General features: G+C 46.5%; 1 protein-coding gene and 1 pseudogene across 1 annotated transcript; one reads left to right on the top strand and one right to left on the bottom strand.

Moving 5' to 3' along the window:
- Positions 892-1189, bottom strand: RN7SL478P (RNA, 7SL, cytoplasmic 478, pseudogene; annotated as a pseudogene).
- Positions 9318-14827, top strand: OCM2 (oncomodulin 2). The gene is made up of 4 exons (NM_006188.4): positions 9318-9470; positions 10966-11098; positions 12358-12467; positions 14531-14827. Exons 1-4 carry the CDS (start codon positions 9410-9412, stop codon positions 14554-14556), a joined length of 330 nt encoding a protein of 109 aa, NP_006179.2. The 5' UTR covers positions 9318-9409; the 3' UTR covers positions 14557-14827.
- Positions 14828-15361: the final 534 nt, after the last annotated feature.

The following is a 15361-nucleotide window of genomic DNA, read 5'->3' as shown; positions in this document are numbered from 1 at the left end:
ATATCACGCTAATTGGTGAATATCTTTTTTTTTTTTTTTTTAAAGACCGAGTTTCGCTCTTGTTGCCCAGGCTGGAGTGCAATGGCACGATCTCAGCTCACCGCAACCTCCACCTTCCAGGTTCAAGCGATTCTCCTGCCTCAGCCTCCTCCCCAGTAGCTGGGATAACAGGCATGGTAATCCACAAATTAAAATGCCCAGAAAGCCGGGCGCAGTGGCTCACGCCTGTAATCCCAGCAGTTTGGGAGGCCAAAGCGGGAGGATGGCTTGAGCCCAGGTGTTCGAGACCAGCCTGGGCAACATAGTGAGACCCCCCTCCCCGTCTCTACAAAAAATAAAATAAATTAGCTGGGTGTGGCGGCGTGTGCCTATAGTCACAGCTACTCGGGAGGCTGAGGTGGGAGGATCACTTGAGCCCAGGAGGCAGAGGCTGCAGTGAGCCATGATTGAACCACTGCACTCAAGCCTGGGTGACAGAGTGAGTCCTTGTCTCAAAAAAAAAAAAAAAAAAAAGAGATAGGGGTCTCACTCTGTTGCCTAGGCTGGTCTTAAACTCCTGGCTTCAAGCAAACCTCCCAAAGTGCTGAGATTATAGGCTTGAGCCACCGCACCCTGCCTGACCTGGGATATCTCTCCCTTGTTCATCACGGGGATAATAATATTTCAGAGTTGTTGCCATGGTTAAATGACACAACATCATGTTGGTGAACTGGGCAGTGTTGCACACACTGTGAAGCAGGGCAGGCTTCACGGGTGTGAGACCTGTGGTCTTCAGGGTCCTGCACTTAGAAAGCCTGCACACTTGATTCAATCCGCTGAGGCCCCCATAGTGAAATTCTTTGAACAAGAGGACTTGCATTTCCTTTTTTCTTTTTCTTTTTTTTTTTTTTTAGGGATGGGGTCTTATTATGTTGCCCAGGCTGGAGTGCAGTGGCTATTCACAAGCATAATCCCACTACTGATCAGCACAGGAGTTTTGACTTGCTCCGTTGCCAGCCTGGGCTGGTTCACCCTCCTTAGGCAACCTGATGGTCCCCTGCACCCAGGAGGTCACCATATTGATGCCAAACTTAGTGGAGACACCCAATCGGCAGAGCGAACTGCAGCCCAGAGCTCCCGGGCTCAAGCAATCCTCCTGCCTCGGCCTCCCAAGTAGCTGGAACTACAGACACCAGCCACCGCGCCCGGCAGGACTTGCATTTTCACCGTGCACCGGAGCCCACAGATTACGGGGCCAGCGGTAATTAGGGGACTTGTGCCATTTCCACACCCACCATAGGTCACGAGGGATGCATTTTGCCCTGCCCCGTGGGTAATCAAAGCTGTAAACCCAGGAGAGGTCAGCTCTTATAGATGGGGGCTGTGCGCTCCTGGGGATCCCCCATCCTTGTTATTCATTCATTCCATTGGGAAACACACAAGCTGTCCTTTTCACGCAGCCCTAAGACACTTTACGGTCTTCGTTTGTAAATAGCAGTCACTTCGTTTCACGAAGGAGCTTGTCCCAAACCCCCATGTGTAAACTTATTTAACCAATTATTGCTCAGTCTGTGAGTGGGAAAGGAAATCCACTCGTAGAGAAGTATCTCATTTATAAATAAACACTCCCATAACTCTGGATCCCACCCCATCCCCCACGTCACTACACAGAGATGGCTGGATGCAGAAACTCAGATTCAGAGAGCCAGTTCATTCACTGCTCAAATGTGTTCATTGAATAGTTACACTGTGACAAGGAATGTGCCAATGAAAGACCGAAGATAAAAATGGACGATGGGGCTGGGCACGGTGGCTCACACCTGTAATACCACCACATTGGGAGGCCAAGAAGGGAGGATGGCTTGAGCCCAGGAGGTCAAGACTGCGGTGAACCACAATCGCATCATTGCACTCCAGCCTGCATGACAGAGCCAGACCCTGAATGTACAAAAATTAAATTAAAAAATTAAGGCCAGGCGCAGTGGCTCATACCTGTAATCCCAGCATTTTGGGAGGCTGAGGCGGGTGGACCACTTGAGGTCAGGAGTTCAAGACCAGCTTGGCCAACATGGTAAAACCCTGTCTCTACTAAAACTACAAAAAAGTCACAGGGTGTGGTGGTGCACACCTGTAATCCCAGCTACTTGGGAGGATGAGGCAGGAGAATCGCTTGAATCTGGGAGGTAGAGGTCGCAGTGAACCTAGATCTTGACATTGCACTCCAGACTGGGCAACAAGAGCAAAACTCCATCTCAAAAAGAAATTTTTTTTTAAATTAAATTAAATTTAATTTAAAAATCAGCCTGGGGTGGTGGCACATGCCTGTAGTCCCAGCTACTCAGGAGACTGAGGCAGGAGGACCACTCAAGCCCAGAAGCCTGGATAATTATTTAGTTATTTTCATTTTTTGTAGAGATGGGTTCTTGCTTTGTGACCCAGGCTGGTCTCAAACTTCTGGGCACAAGCAATGCTCCCGCCTCGGCCTCCTAAAATGTTGGGGATTACAGGCATGAGCCACCCAGTCCAGCCATGCTTGGGTTTTTTCAAAACCCACCTGGCTAGGTTGGAGGTGACCCCGAGTGGAGAAGGGTTAAGAGGCCACCACGGTTGTTTCCATTCCCAAAAGAGATGCTGGTGGCTTGGGCTGGGGTAGTGACGGTGGTCCATGAAGAGAAGAAGAAGTTAGGAGATATTTAGGAAGACATCTGTTGAGAGAACATGGAAGTGGGTCCACGGTGCTCTCAACTAGCCCATCATACATGATGGAAGGAGGGTCTCCCATGCAGTCAAGAGTTTTGTCCCCACAAGGGCAGCCAGGCTGGGCGCGGTGGCTCACGCCTGTAATCACAGCACTTTGGGAGGCTGAGGTGGGCGGATTACTTGAGGTCAGGAGTTGGAGGCCAGCCTGACCAACACGACGAAACCCCGTCTCTACTAAAAATAATTAAAAAATTAGCCGGGCATGGTGGCAGGCACTTGTAATCCCAGCTACTCGGGAGGCTGAGGCAGAAGAATCTCTTGAACCTGGGAGATGGAGGTTGCAGTGAGCCGAGATCGTGCCACTACATTCCAGCCTGGGTGACAGAGCGAGACTCTGTCTCAAAAAAAAAAAAAAAAACGATCTACTTCCACATCTTCCTCCTGTTCTTTCCTGGGAGCAATTAGGAATTGGTGGCCAAAATAATGAAGACTACTGAATCAACGTTTAAAAATTGTTAATATATACATATACATGATATACATAAGCATTACATTACATAAATATGCAAATATGATAAACAACATATCATTATGCATATGCAACATATGTCAGATGCATAACATGATATGCAACATAAAATACATAATATGAAATTTACCATCTTAATAATTTTCTTTTTTTTTCTTTGGAGAGACAGGGTCTCACTCTGTTAACCAGGCTGGAGTGCAGTTGTGTGATCACAGCTCACTGCAGCCTCAAACTCCTGGGCCTAAGTGATCCTCCCACCTCAGCCTCCCGAGTAGCTGGGACCATAGATGCACACAACCATGTCTGGCTAATTTTTTTTATTTTTTGTAGAGTCGGGGTAGTGCTTTGTAACCCAGGCTGGTCTCAAACTCCTGGCTTCAAGCAATTCTCCCGCCTCGTCCTTCCAAAGTGCTGGGATTGCAGACATGCACCGCCTCACCCGACCCATCTTAAACCTTTTGAAGTTCAGTGGCATTAAATATATTCACATTGTGCAACTGTCACCACCATCCATCTCCAGAACTTTCTCATCTTCCCAATCTGAAACTCTGTCCCCATTAAACACTCAATCCCATTACCCCTCCCCCCAGCCCTGCTAACCACCATTCTGTCTGTCTCTGTCAGTTTGAATATTCTAGGTACCTCGTATTAGTGGAATTATACAATATTGTCTCTTTGTGTGAATCTATCTATCTATCTATCTATCTATCTATCTATCTATCTATATATATTTTTTTTGAGACGGAGTCTTGCTCTGTCACCCAGGCTGGAATGTAGTGGCACAATCTCGGCTCACTGCAACCTCCACCTCCCGGGTTCAAGCAATTCTCCTGCCCCAGCTTCCCAAGTAGCTGGGATTACAGACACCCACTACCATGCCCGGATAATTTTTTTGTGTTTTTAGTAGAGACAGCGTTTCGCCACATTGGCCAGACTGGTCTCGAACTCCTGACCTAAGGTGATCTGCCCACCTCAGCCTCCCAAAGTGCTGGGATTACAGGTGTGAGCCACGGCGCCCGGCCTGAATCAATATTTGATGCTCAGATTGCACATAATGGAATTCAAGTTGTCATCTTAAGTGCCTCCTTGATTCAGAAAACATGTTCACTGAATATGTTATCTTTTTAAAATTTAAATAAATACAATATTTTTCTATAGAGATGGGAGTCTCACTACATCACCCTGGCTGGTCTCGAATTCCTGGGCCCAAGCAATCTTCCCATCTCGGCCTCCCACAGTGTTGGGATTATAGGCATGAGCCACCACTCCTGGCCTTGTCTCTGGTATCTTTATTTTCTTTCAGAAAAATAGCATGAACATAAAAAGTATCTTGGTTTAACCCATATGCTACTTTGATTTAAATGAGCAGATTTTTAAAAAATGTTTTATCTCTATGGACAATTGTAAACACTCCCAAAGAAAAAGAAAGGACTCAGCTAGTTTCTATGGCAACTTAATGTCAGAAACCTAATTCAAAACTCTTAAGACTTATTTTCAGAAACTTTTTTTTTTTTTGAGACAAGGCCTCACTGTGTCACCCAGGCTGGAGTGCAGTGGTGCAATTGTAACTTGCAGCAGCCGGTACTTCCCAGCCTCAATCAATCTTCCCACCTCAGCCTCCTGAGCAGCTGGCACCGCAGGCATGCGCCACCATGCCTAGCTGATTTATTTTTTTTCTGAGACAGAGTCTCGCTCTGTTACCCAGGCTGGAGAGCAGTGGCCATGATCTCAGCTCACTGCAACCTCTGCCTCCCGGGTTCTAAGTGATCCTCCTGCCTCAGCCTCCGGAGTAGCTGGGATTACAGGCATGCACCACTACGCCGGGCTAATTTTGTATTTTTAGTAGAGACAGGGTTTCACCATGTTGGCCAGGCTGGTCTCGAACTCCTGACCTCAGGTAATCCACCTGCCTCGGCCTCCCAAAGTGCTGGGATTACAGGCGTGAGCCATCGCACCTGGCCGGGGCTGATTTATGATTATTATTTTTTTGTAGAGACAGGACCTTGTCATGTTGTCCAGGCTAGTCTTGAACTCCTGGGCTCAGGAAATCCTCCCACCTTGGCTTCCCAAAGTGCTGAGATTACAGGCATGAGCCACCACACCCAATCTTTAGAAACTTCTTTAAGGGGCTGGGCAAGGTGATGCTGGTTGGGAATCGTATTTTCAACTTCTTTTTGCTATTTTTATTTATTCATTCATCAAATAACTGCTGAGCGCCTAAATATAGGTCAGTCCTGGGCTAGGCACTGGGGAATAAAATGTGGACAAGAGATAGGGTGCCGGCTGGAGGTTTGGTCATTTAAGAGAGGCTGCAGGTATCCCTGAGAGAAACTCTTCACTGACGACACTAGGGGGTATACCATCCTGGTAGGAGAATATATTTGGGGCAAAGTGAAGATGCCCACTGTTTTACCCAGGAAAGAGTCTGAGGTCTTGCTCTAGGTATCCTGAATTGTCTACTTATTTATTTATTTTTTTTTTGAGGTAGAGTTTTGCTCTTGTTGCCCAGGCTGGAGTGCAATGGCATGATCTCGGCTTGCCACAACCTCCACCTCCCCAGTTCAAGTGATTCTCCTGCCTCAGCCTCTCGAGTAGCCAAGATTACAGGCATGTGCCACCATGCCCAGCTAATTTTATATTTTTAGTAGAGACGGGGTTTCTCCATGTTGGTCAGGTTGGTCTCGAACTCCCGACCTCAGGTGATCTGCCTGTCTCAGCCTCCCAAAGTGCTGGGATTACAGGCATCAGCCACTGCACCCGGCCTGAACTGTCTACTTCTAAGCCACTGTATGTTTCTCATTGCAACATGGGATCTATTTTTGCACTTTTTAAAAACTTCAGGCTGGGCACAGTGGCTTACGCCTGTAATCTCAGCACTTTGGGAAGCCGAGCAGGGTGGATCGCTTGAGTCCAGGAGTTTGAGACCAGCCTGGGCAACATCGTGAGGCCCCCGTTTCTACCAAAAAAAATACAAAAAATTAGCCAGGTGTGGTGGTGTGCGCCTGTAGTCCCAGCCTCCTGGGAGGCTGAGCTGGGAGGATTGCCTGAACCCAGGAGGTCAAGGCTGCAGTGAGCCGAGATCACACTACTGCACTCCAGCCCGAAGAGCAAAACTCTGTCTCAAAAACAAATAAAAATAAAAATGAAAAACAAACAAACAAAAAACATGACTCCAGCTTTTAAAAAGGAGATCCTAGGCCAGGTGCGGCGGCTCGCACCTGTAATCCCAGCACTTTGGGAGGCCAAGGCAGGTGGATCACTTGAGGTCAGGAGTTTGAGACCAGCCTGGCCAACATGGTGAAACCCCCATCTCTACTAAAAATACAAAAATTAGCCGGGTGTGGTAGCATGTGCCTGTAATCCTAGCTACTCGGGAGGCTAAGGCAGGAGAATTTCTTGAACCCGGGAGGCGGAGGTTGTAGTGAGCTGAGATCATGCCTCTGCACTCCAGCCTGGGTGACAGAGCAAGACTCCGTCTCAAAAAAAAAAAAAAAAAAAAAAGGAGATCCTGACACATGCCACAACACAGATGAACCTTGAGGACATTATACTCAGTGAAATAAGCCAGTCTGAAAAATACAAATACTATATGATTCCACTTATATGATGTCCCTAGATAAAGCAGTCAAACTCTTTTTTTTTTTTGAGGTGGAGTCTCGTTCTGTCACCCAGGTTATAGTGTAGTGGCGCAATCTCAGCTCACTGCAACCTCTGCCTCCCAGATTCAAGTGATTCTCCTGCCACAGCCTCCCAAGTAGCTGGGATTACAGGCTACCATGCCCAGCTAATTTTTGCATTTTTAGTAGAGATGGGGTTTCACCATGTTGGTCAGGCTGGTCTCGAACTCCTGACCTTGTGATTTGCCTGCCTCGGCCTCCCAAAGTGCTGGGATTACAGGCATGAGCCACTGTGCCCGGCCAGTAGTCAAACTCTTAGAAGCAGAAAGTACAATGATGCTTACCAGGAGCTGGGAGGTGGGGGAACAGGGGAGTTGTGGCAGCTCAATGGATACAGAGTTTCTGTTTTTCCAGCTGAATAAATTACAGAGATCTCTCATTCAATAATGCACCAAGAGTTAACAATATTGTACTATACATACACTTAAAAATGGTTGAGATTATATATTTTATGGAATGTGGTTTTTACCCAATAATTAAAAAGAAGAGTCTAGCACAGTGCTGGCCATATAAAGCCTCAATAAATGTTTGCTGAAAATTAAAAAAAAAAAAAAGGCCAGGAGTGGTGGTTCACACATGTAATCCCAGCACTTTGGGAGGCTGAGGTGGGAGAATTACTCGAGCCCAGGAGTTCAAGACCAGCCTAGGCAACATGGCAAAACCCTGTCTCTCCAAAAAATATGTATATTAAAAAAATTAGCCAGGCATGGTGGTGTGTGCCTGTAGTACCAGCTACTCGGGAGACTGAGGTGGGAGGATCGCTTGAGCCTGGAGGTCAAGGCTGCAATGAGCTGAGATTGTACCACTGCACTCCAGTCGGGGCAACAGAGCAAGACCCTGTCACAACAGAAACAAAATCTTGAGGTGTCTAGTCCTGGCCTCAGCCTCAGAGTATTTGTTTCTGAACTTGTTAGTTTTGGGGGTTGGGGATGCTGGTTTGATTTCCTCCTTTTTGCCTTTTGAGTGTGTGCAATTTATGGTATAGCTGGGAAACGTAAAAGTCAAGAGTTTTGTAGGAAAATCACGTCACTTAGCCCTGTCTCCTGTGCCGGACGAGTCCTGTGTGTGCACTTGGTGACAATGGCTTTGAGTCTTCAACTCCAGATTGAGGTCAGCCTTACACATCCATAGTTCCCAAAGCTGAAAACAGGCCTGCCTCCAACGGTACCTGCTAACATCTGGGGAGCTTTTCAGCTTACAGAGCACCCTGTATGTGTTTGTCTTAGTTCAGGCCACCATCTCCAGCTTACCAGGCTCTAGAACCTTCTCCACACTTTGCCAACAGGGTTCGTTTGCAGAATTGAAACCTTAGTTAAGGTTTGTTGAGGTTGTTGTTGTTGTTGTTGTTTTTACAATTGGCTATTCCCACCCACATTCCCTTGAGACATAAATAGAAAAAAAAAAGAGGTTTCCTGAGTAGGACAAGACATTTGAGCTGCATCCACTTGATCCTTGAAAAGGAAATCTAAGAGGTTGTAACTATCACTTTTTCTAGCCTATATAAGGTAGGTCAGTAAGGTAGCAAAAGCACATCTGTTGTTTTGCTCCTTCAACTCTTTTTCCTGATTCTTCCTGGGGGAAAACCTAAAACGGTGAGTAACTGGTGGACCCATCAGACCCCAGACTCTTCTTCACTGCATGCATTCATATTAGGCTCAGGTGCTTAGACTCCTGTTTTCCCATGGCTCTGACATCTGGAAGGATTTTAATCTCTGGGAGATGGGCTTTTCATCCATCTGCTTCCCACCTTTCAGGACAGGTAGCATGTCTTCTTCCACAGAATGTCTGCAAGCAGCCCAAACTGTATCCTTTCCCACGTGGAATTTGCAACAGTGCATCTCTCGGACTGCTGTAGGAAAATGCCAGTGCATTTGTAACATGGTTTACGGCTGCCTATGCAAATGACTGATTATGTCAGTATAATTTTTATAAGAAAACAATTGAATCCTTCTTTGGGTCATGTTTTTTTTTTTCATTTTTGGCATATATTCAAAAGAAGGCTCTGAGACAAAAAGGGCTGGGGTCTTTTTGGTATCTGGTTTTAATTTGGATATTCTGTCCCGTCACTTAATACAAAACCATGCTTATCACATTTTAAAAATTCTAGACAGGCCTGGCTTGGTGGCTTATGCCTGTAATCCCAGCAGTTTGTGAGGCCAAGGCAGGCAGATCACATGAGGTCAGGAGCTCGAGACCAGGCTGGCAAACATGGCAAAACCCCATCTCTACTAAAAACACAAAAATCAGCCAGGCCTGGTAGTGCGCACCTGTAATCCCAGCTACTCGGAAGGCTGAGGCAGGAGAATCACTTGAGCCCAGGAGGTGGAGGTTGCAGTGAGCCAAGATTGTGCCACTGCACTCCAGCCTGGGTGACAGAGTGAGACTCCATCTCAAAAAAAAAAAAAAAAAAAATCTAGACACACATACAGTTTCAGTGGGCCTGGGAAGATGTGTTTCCCCTGGATGTGCACGTTCCTGTTTGTGGCTTATCGCCTCTCGTTTATTCTGTGTGAGTAGGTAGAAAATGAGCATCACGGACGTGCTCAGTGCTGATGACATTGCAGCAGCGCTCCAGGAATGCCAAGGTAGAGGGGACGTGGGGCGGGGGTGGGATTTCCTCACAGCTTTGCCCCTCCAGCGAGGCAACACAAAATCAAAATGTAGGCCAGGCGGCCAGACGCAGTGGCTCACGCCTGTAATCCTAGCACTTTGGGAGGCTGAGGTGGGTGGATCACGAGGTCAGGAGTTTGAGACCAGCCTGGCCAAGATGGTGAAACCCCATCTCTAATAAAAATACAAAAAAATTAGCCAGGCGTGGTGGTGGGCACCTGTAATCCCAGCTACTCGGGAGGCTGAGGCTGAGAATTGCTTGAACCCGGCCTTTTTTGTAGACTCTGTCTACAAAAAAAAAAAAAATGTAGACCAGGCATGGTGGCTCACATCCGTAATCCCAACACTTTTCGGAGGCCAAGGTGAGAGGACTGTTTGAGCCCAGGAGTTTGAGACCAGCCTGGGCAACATAACAAGACTCCATCTCTACAACATAACAATAAAAATAAAAACTAGCGGGGCATGGTGGCATGTGCCTGTGGTCCCAGCTACTCTGGAAACTAAGGTAGGAGGATCACTCAAGCCCAGGAGGTTGAGGCTGTGGTGAGCTATGATCGCTACACTGCACTCCAGCCTGGACGACAGAGTGAGACTCTGTCTCTAAATAAATAAATAAATAAATAAATAAATAAGTAAATAAGAGCTTGGCTGGAAAATTCATGGAATCAGAGAAGAAAACTACTATTTATTAGATAACTAAAATTATAGAGATCTGGGATCTGAGCACACGATTACACTTCTGTAAGACAAAAGAAACCTACTAAACATGAAAGCAAGAAATCACTGAAGGGCCAGGTGTGGTGCTCACACCTGTAATCCCAGCACTTTGGGAGGCCAAGGCCGGTGCATCACTTGAGGTCAGGAGTTCAAGACCAACCTGGCCAGCCTGACAAAACCCTGTCTCTATTAAAAATACAAAAATGAGCTGGGCATGGGGGTGCATGCCTGTAATCCCAGCTACTCGGGAGGCTGAGGCAGGAGAATCAGTTGAACCTGGGAGGCAGAGGTTGCAGTGAGCCGAGATCACGCCACTGCACTCCAGCCTGGCGACAGAGTGAGACTCTGTCTCAAAAAAAAAAAAAAAAGAAAGAAAGAAATCGCCAAAGGCCATTTAGCCTGTTGAAATCCAGTGATTGCATTTCCCCCTACCAATTAGACCAGGGATGTTGGGGGCTCGGCCACACAGCCTGTAAAGTGGGCCAGGGGGAGGGGGAGGCACAGAGGAGAGGAGGAGGGAAAAGGAAAATGGACAAAACCAAGTGGAGGAGGGAAGACCGGGGCGGAGGGGACATGGGATGCCATCACAGAGCCATCAAGTCTTGGCTGTCCCAAAATCTTAGACCAGTTGAGCATCCCCGTAGCTCAGGGATATTGTTGAAGTGTTTTTAATCATCTGTGTTTTCAGTACCTTGGCCCCAACATAGAATGTGATCCAATGAGTGTCAGAATAACCCATTCTCTGTTCTTCAGACCCAGACACTTTTGAACCCCAAAAATTCTTCCAGACGTCAGGCCTCTCCAAGATGTCAGCCAGTCAGGTGAAGGATGTTTTCCGGTTCATAGACAACGACCAGAGCGGGTATCTGGATGAAGAAGAGCTTAAGTAAGCTTTGTCCTGAGGCTGTCTGGTACCTGGCACTGCTGGGTGGGCCTGGGGTGCAGTGGGGGCCAGGTTGCTCAGTATTTCTTCAATGGCCAGCCTTGGTGTTGGTCATTCGGCCAAGCATCATTAAAGCAAAGGACATGAGTCAGTTGACCGCACATCTACCCATGCAAAGCCCTCAACATGGGCAGTGAAGACTACAGGTGCAAAGATTCTTTTTTTTTTTTGAGACAGGGCCTCACTGTCACCCAGGCTGGAGTGCAGTGGGGTGATCTCAGCTCCCTGCAGCCTCCGCCTTCCAAACTCAAGTGATTCTCATGCCTCAGTCTCCCAAGTGGCTGGGATTACAGGTGCTTGCCACCACATCCAGCTAATTTTCATATTTAGAGTAGAGATGGGGTTTCACCATGTTGCCAGGCTGGTCTCAAACTCCTGACTTCAAGTGATCCTCCTGCCTTGGCCTCCCAAAGTGCTGGGATTACAGGTGTGAGCCACCGTGCCCAGCCGCAAAGATTCTTTCATGTAAGGGATTTCCTTTGGCAAATGGACTTTAAAAAACTAAAAACTTGGCTAAGCGCGGTGGCTCACGCCTGTAATTCCAGCTACTCAGAAGACTGAAGCACAAGAATTGCTTGAAATCAGGAGGCAGAGGTTGCAGTGAGCCCAGATCGTGCAGCTGCACTCCAGCCTGGGTGACAGAGACTCTGTCTCAAATAAATAAATAAATAAATAAAAATTAAAACCACTAAAAACTTAAAAATGGGCCAGGCACTGTGGCTCACACCTACAATCCCAGCCCTTTGGGAGGCTGAGGTGGGTGGATTGCTTGAGTGAGCCCAGGATTTCAAGACCAGTCTGGGCAACATGACAAAACCTTGTCTCTACAAAAAAAAAATACAAATGTTAGTGGGGCATGGGGGGGTGCACCTTTAGTCCCAGCTACTCGGGAGGTTGAGGCAGAAGGATTGATTGAGCCCAGGAAGTTGAGGCTGCAGTGAGCCATGATGGTATCACTGCATTCCAGCCTGGGTGACAGAGCAAGACCCTATCTCAAAAATAAACAAACAAACAAACAAAACCTTAAAAATGAAGTGCCCACCATTGGTTTCTACAGCTTAAGGAAACCTTTGCTTGCTAAGACCTTGGCTAATTATTGCAGGTGCTGGAAACAGATGATATGCTTAAAGGAAAAACAAAAGTCTAAACACAGGGATGCACGACCTTTTTGAAAATCCCCATGGATCTTTATTATCCTGTAGGTTTTTCCTCCAGAAGTTTGAGAGTGGTGCCAGAGAACTGACCGAGTCAGAAACCAAGTCCTTGATGGCTGCGGCGGATAATGATGGAGATGGGAAAATTGGAGCAGAGGGTATGTCCACACGTGTACGTAGCATAAAACACTCTAGCTCAGGAAGCATCCGTGAGGGGTTGGGCTGTGAGATCAAACCAATGTGGCTTAAAATCTCCCTTTCTTAACCTTACCGAGCCTCAGTCTTCTCATCTGTAAAATGAGACTAAAGTAAGGATGCAAATGATGTGTGTAAAAACCCTGGCATAATTCTCGGTAGGTATATAGAAGCTGGTCACACTGGTCATTGTCTATGAGCTGCAAAATATCCTTCACCTGACTAGGGGACTAGCTAGCTACCTGGCCAATTATTTGTACCTGCCAACCATAATGCACCTGCATATAGCGCGAGGTATTTCTACCAGTGGGGTTTGAACCCCTCAGAATAAGGGAAAGATTTACATCCTCAGACCAGGGTCCATTGGCATGCGTAGGAAGGCCTCTTCATCTTCAAGGGTTTAGACAAATATATTTTATTGGACATTAGCCCGCCAAGGGGATAATATTAAACAGAGAACAAATAAGCCAACCTCATTTATTGAGTCTTCCGTAGGCAGAATCCTAGGTTTGAGCTTTAGAATACACTAGCATAGCTGTAGGACTATTTTCACTTGATTTTGTCATGTTGCTAGCATGCTTTTTAACTACTTTGTGTCTGCCAACTCAGCAGAATGTATGGTGGTCCTTCTGGTGGTGCTAATTTGAAATTTAAAACTGCTACGTTAGATGCTTATTAAAAAAAAAACCTGTTCAAAATTATACCACTATCGCTTACTACATGGGAGTTAATGCAGATAGATAGCTCATAAAAACAGATTAGGTAAGGGGGGATTGCCTTATTTAAACATAACCACGGGCTGGGCGTGGTGGCTCAGGCCTATAATCCCAGCACTTTTGGAGGCCAAGGTGGGCAGATCCCCTGAAGTCAGGAGTTCAAGACTAGACTGACCAACATGGTAAACCCCATCTCTATTGAAAATATAAAAAATTAGCCGGGCATGGTGGTGGGCACCTGTAATCCCAACTACTCGGGAAGCTGAGGCAGGAGAATCACTTGAACCTGGGAGGCAGAGGTTGCAGTGAGCCAAGATGGCACCATTGCACTCCAGCCTGGGCAACAAGAGTGAAACTCTATCTCAAAAGAAAAAAAAAAGATAAACATAACCATGAAGGATTTCCAAATAAACAAAGCTTACCAATAAATATAAAGCAAGTCCCCAGTTTTTTATATCAATCTGTAACATCCATACCTTGTTATTATTACTATTATCCTTCTTTTAGTAACAGAAACTTTTGGAGTTTGGTTCAATGGAGGAAAGTCAGTTCAAAGTCCCACCCTATCAAATATATCCTAAAAATGCAATACCCAGCTACAGAATAGAGAAAGAAAATCTCCCCTTCCTGTCTGCAGACAAAAAGTTAAATGTTCACAGATGGTCACAGGTAATTACAGTGAATTCATGCATTATCAGGGAGAAATGATGGGCTTGACAAGTTCTAATTCAAAGACCTCTATTGCAAAGCTGAAGATGTTTGTTAAATAAGATTGTTCAGAGAAAAGGAACCCTGTGGACTTCCTTGAGATATAGTCATTGATACCCAGGGTTTTTTTCTTTCTTTCTTTCTTTCTTTCTTTTTTTTTTTTTTTTGAGATGGAGTCTGGCTCTCTCGCCCAGGCTAGAGTGCAGTGGCATGATTTCGGCTCACTGCAACCTCCGCCTCCCAGGTTCAAGTGATTCTCCCGCCTCAGCCTCCCAAGTAGCTGGGACTACAGGCACATGCCACCACGCCCGGCTAAGTTTTGTATTTTTAGTAGAGACAGGGTTTCACCATTTTGGCCAGGATGGTTTCGATCTCATGATGTCATGATCCACCCGCTTCGGCCTCCCAAAGTGCTGGGATTACAGGCATGAGCCACTGTGCCCGGCCAGTTTTTCTTTCTTTTGTGCCCTCCAAGGGGGCCATGCCCATCATCTGACAATTTTCTTTGCTTCCTTCCCTCTTTGGAATTCTCACTGGCCACGGCATGTCTGTAAAGAACGAAGCCACCTCCACTGACCCTGTTCTCACCTCTTCTGTTCTAGAATTCCAGGAAATGGTGCATTCTTAAAAGCCCCAGTCTCTGGAGAAAAGAGAGAAAGGGATAATCACCTGGAAGGATTCCAAAGCCCTGGGAATGGGGAACCCCACATCCCATCCCTACCTAATTTGTTAATTTTCCCTGAAAACCTTCTGCAGTTTGCTCATTGTTTTAGCGAGGTCACGAGAGAGTCACTCATGACTTTCTTGGTGGTGGGTATATGCCCTGACAACTTCTGTAAGCCCCCCTTCCCCCAACAGGCAATGCCTCTAAAAATCACCCAATAAAGACAGGCTTCTCAACATCTGCTGTTGTGTGGGCGTGTTTTTTCCTCAGCACGACACTCAAGCAAGCTGGGACCAAAGGCTTTTTGTAGGATTTCTGGTCCCATCAAGCTTGGAGCGGGCCACACTGGTGTTATGGTCGAGCAAACAAGGAAATCAGGTTTTGGAGGGTGTTTTTGGTTGTTTCTTTAGAGTCACAAATAAATGCCATTGTCAAGCTAGGATTTTTCTCAGCAAATCTTCTGACACTGAAATTAATAGGAAGGGATTTTAGCCAGCATAAAATCACTCTTTTTTTTTTTTTTTTTTTTTTTTTTTGAGACAGAGTCTCACTCTGTCACCCAGGCTGGAGTACAGTGGCTCAATCTTGGCTCACCGCAACCTCTGCCTTCCGAGTTCAAGCTATTGTCCCACCTCAGCCTCCCAAGTAGCTGGGATTACAGGCGCACACCACCACGCCTGGCTAATTTTAGTATTTTTAGTAGAGATGGGGTTTCACCATGTTGGCCAGGCTGGTCTCAAACTCCTGACCTCAAGTGATCCACCCACCT

Source organism: Homo sapiens, chromosome 7 (genome assembly GCF_000001405.40).
Source record: "Homo sapiens chromosome 7, GRCh38.p14 Primary Assembly".
In the NCBI taxonomy this organism is placed as follows: domain Eukaryota; kingdom Metazoa; phylum Chordata; class Mammalia; order Primates; family Hominidae; genus Homo; species Homo sapiens.
The sequence above is the reverse complement of the archived record's forward strand: the minus strand, read 5'-3'. Positions and strand labels throughout refer to the sequence as shown.

Excerpts from the sequence above, each read along its gene's own strand:
- OCM2 (NM_006188.4), top strand. The coding sequence starts at position 9,410 with ATGAGCATCACGGACGTGCTCAGTGCTGATGACATTGCAGCAGCGCTC. Across the intron at positions 9,471-10,965 it reads AGCGCTCCAGGAATGCCAAG|ACCCAGACACTTTTGAACCC; the intron begins GTAGAGGGGACG and ends TCTGTTCTTCAG. Across the intron at positions 11,099-12,357 it reads CTGGATGAAGAAGAGCTTAA|GTTTTTCCTCCAGAAGTTTG; the intron begins GTAAGCTTTGTC and ends ATTATCCTGTAG.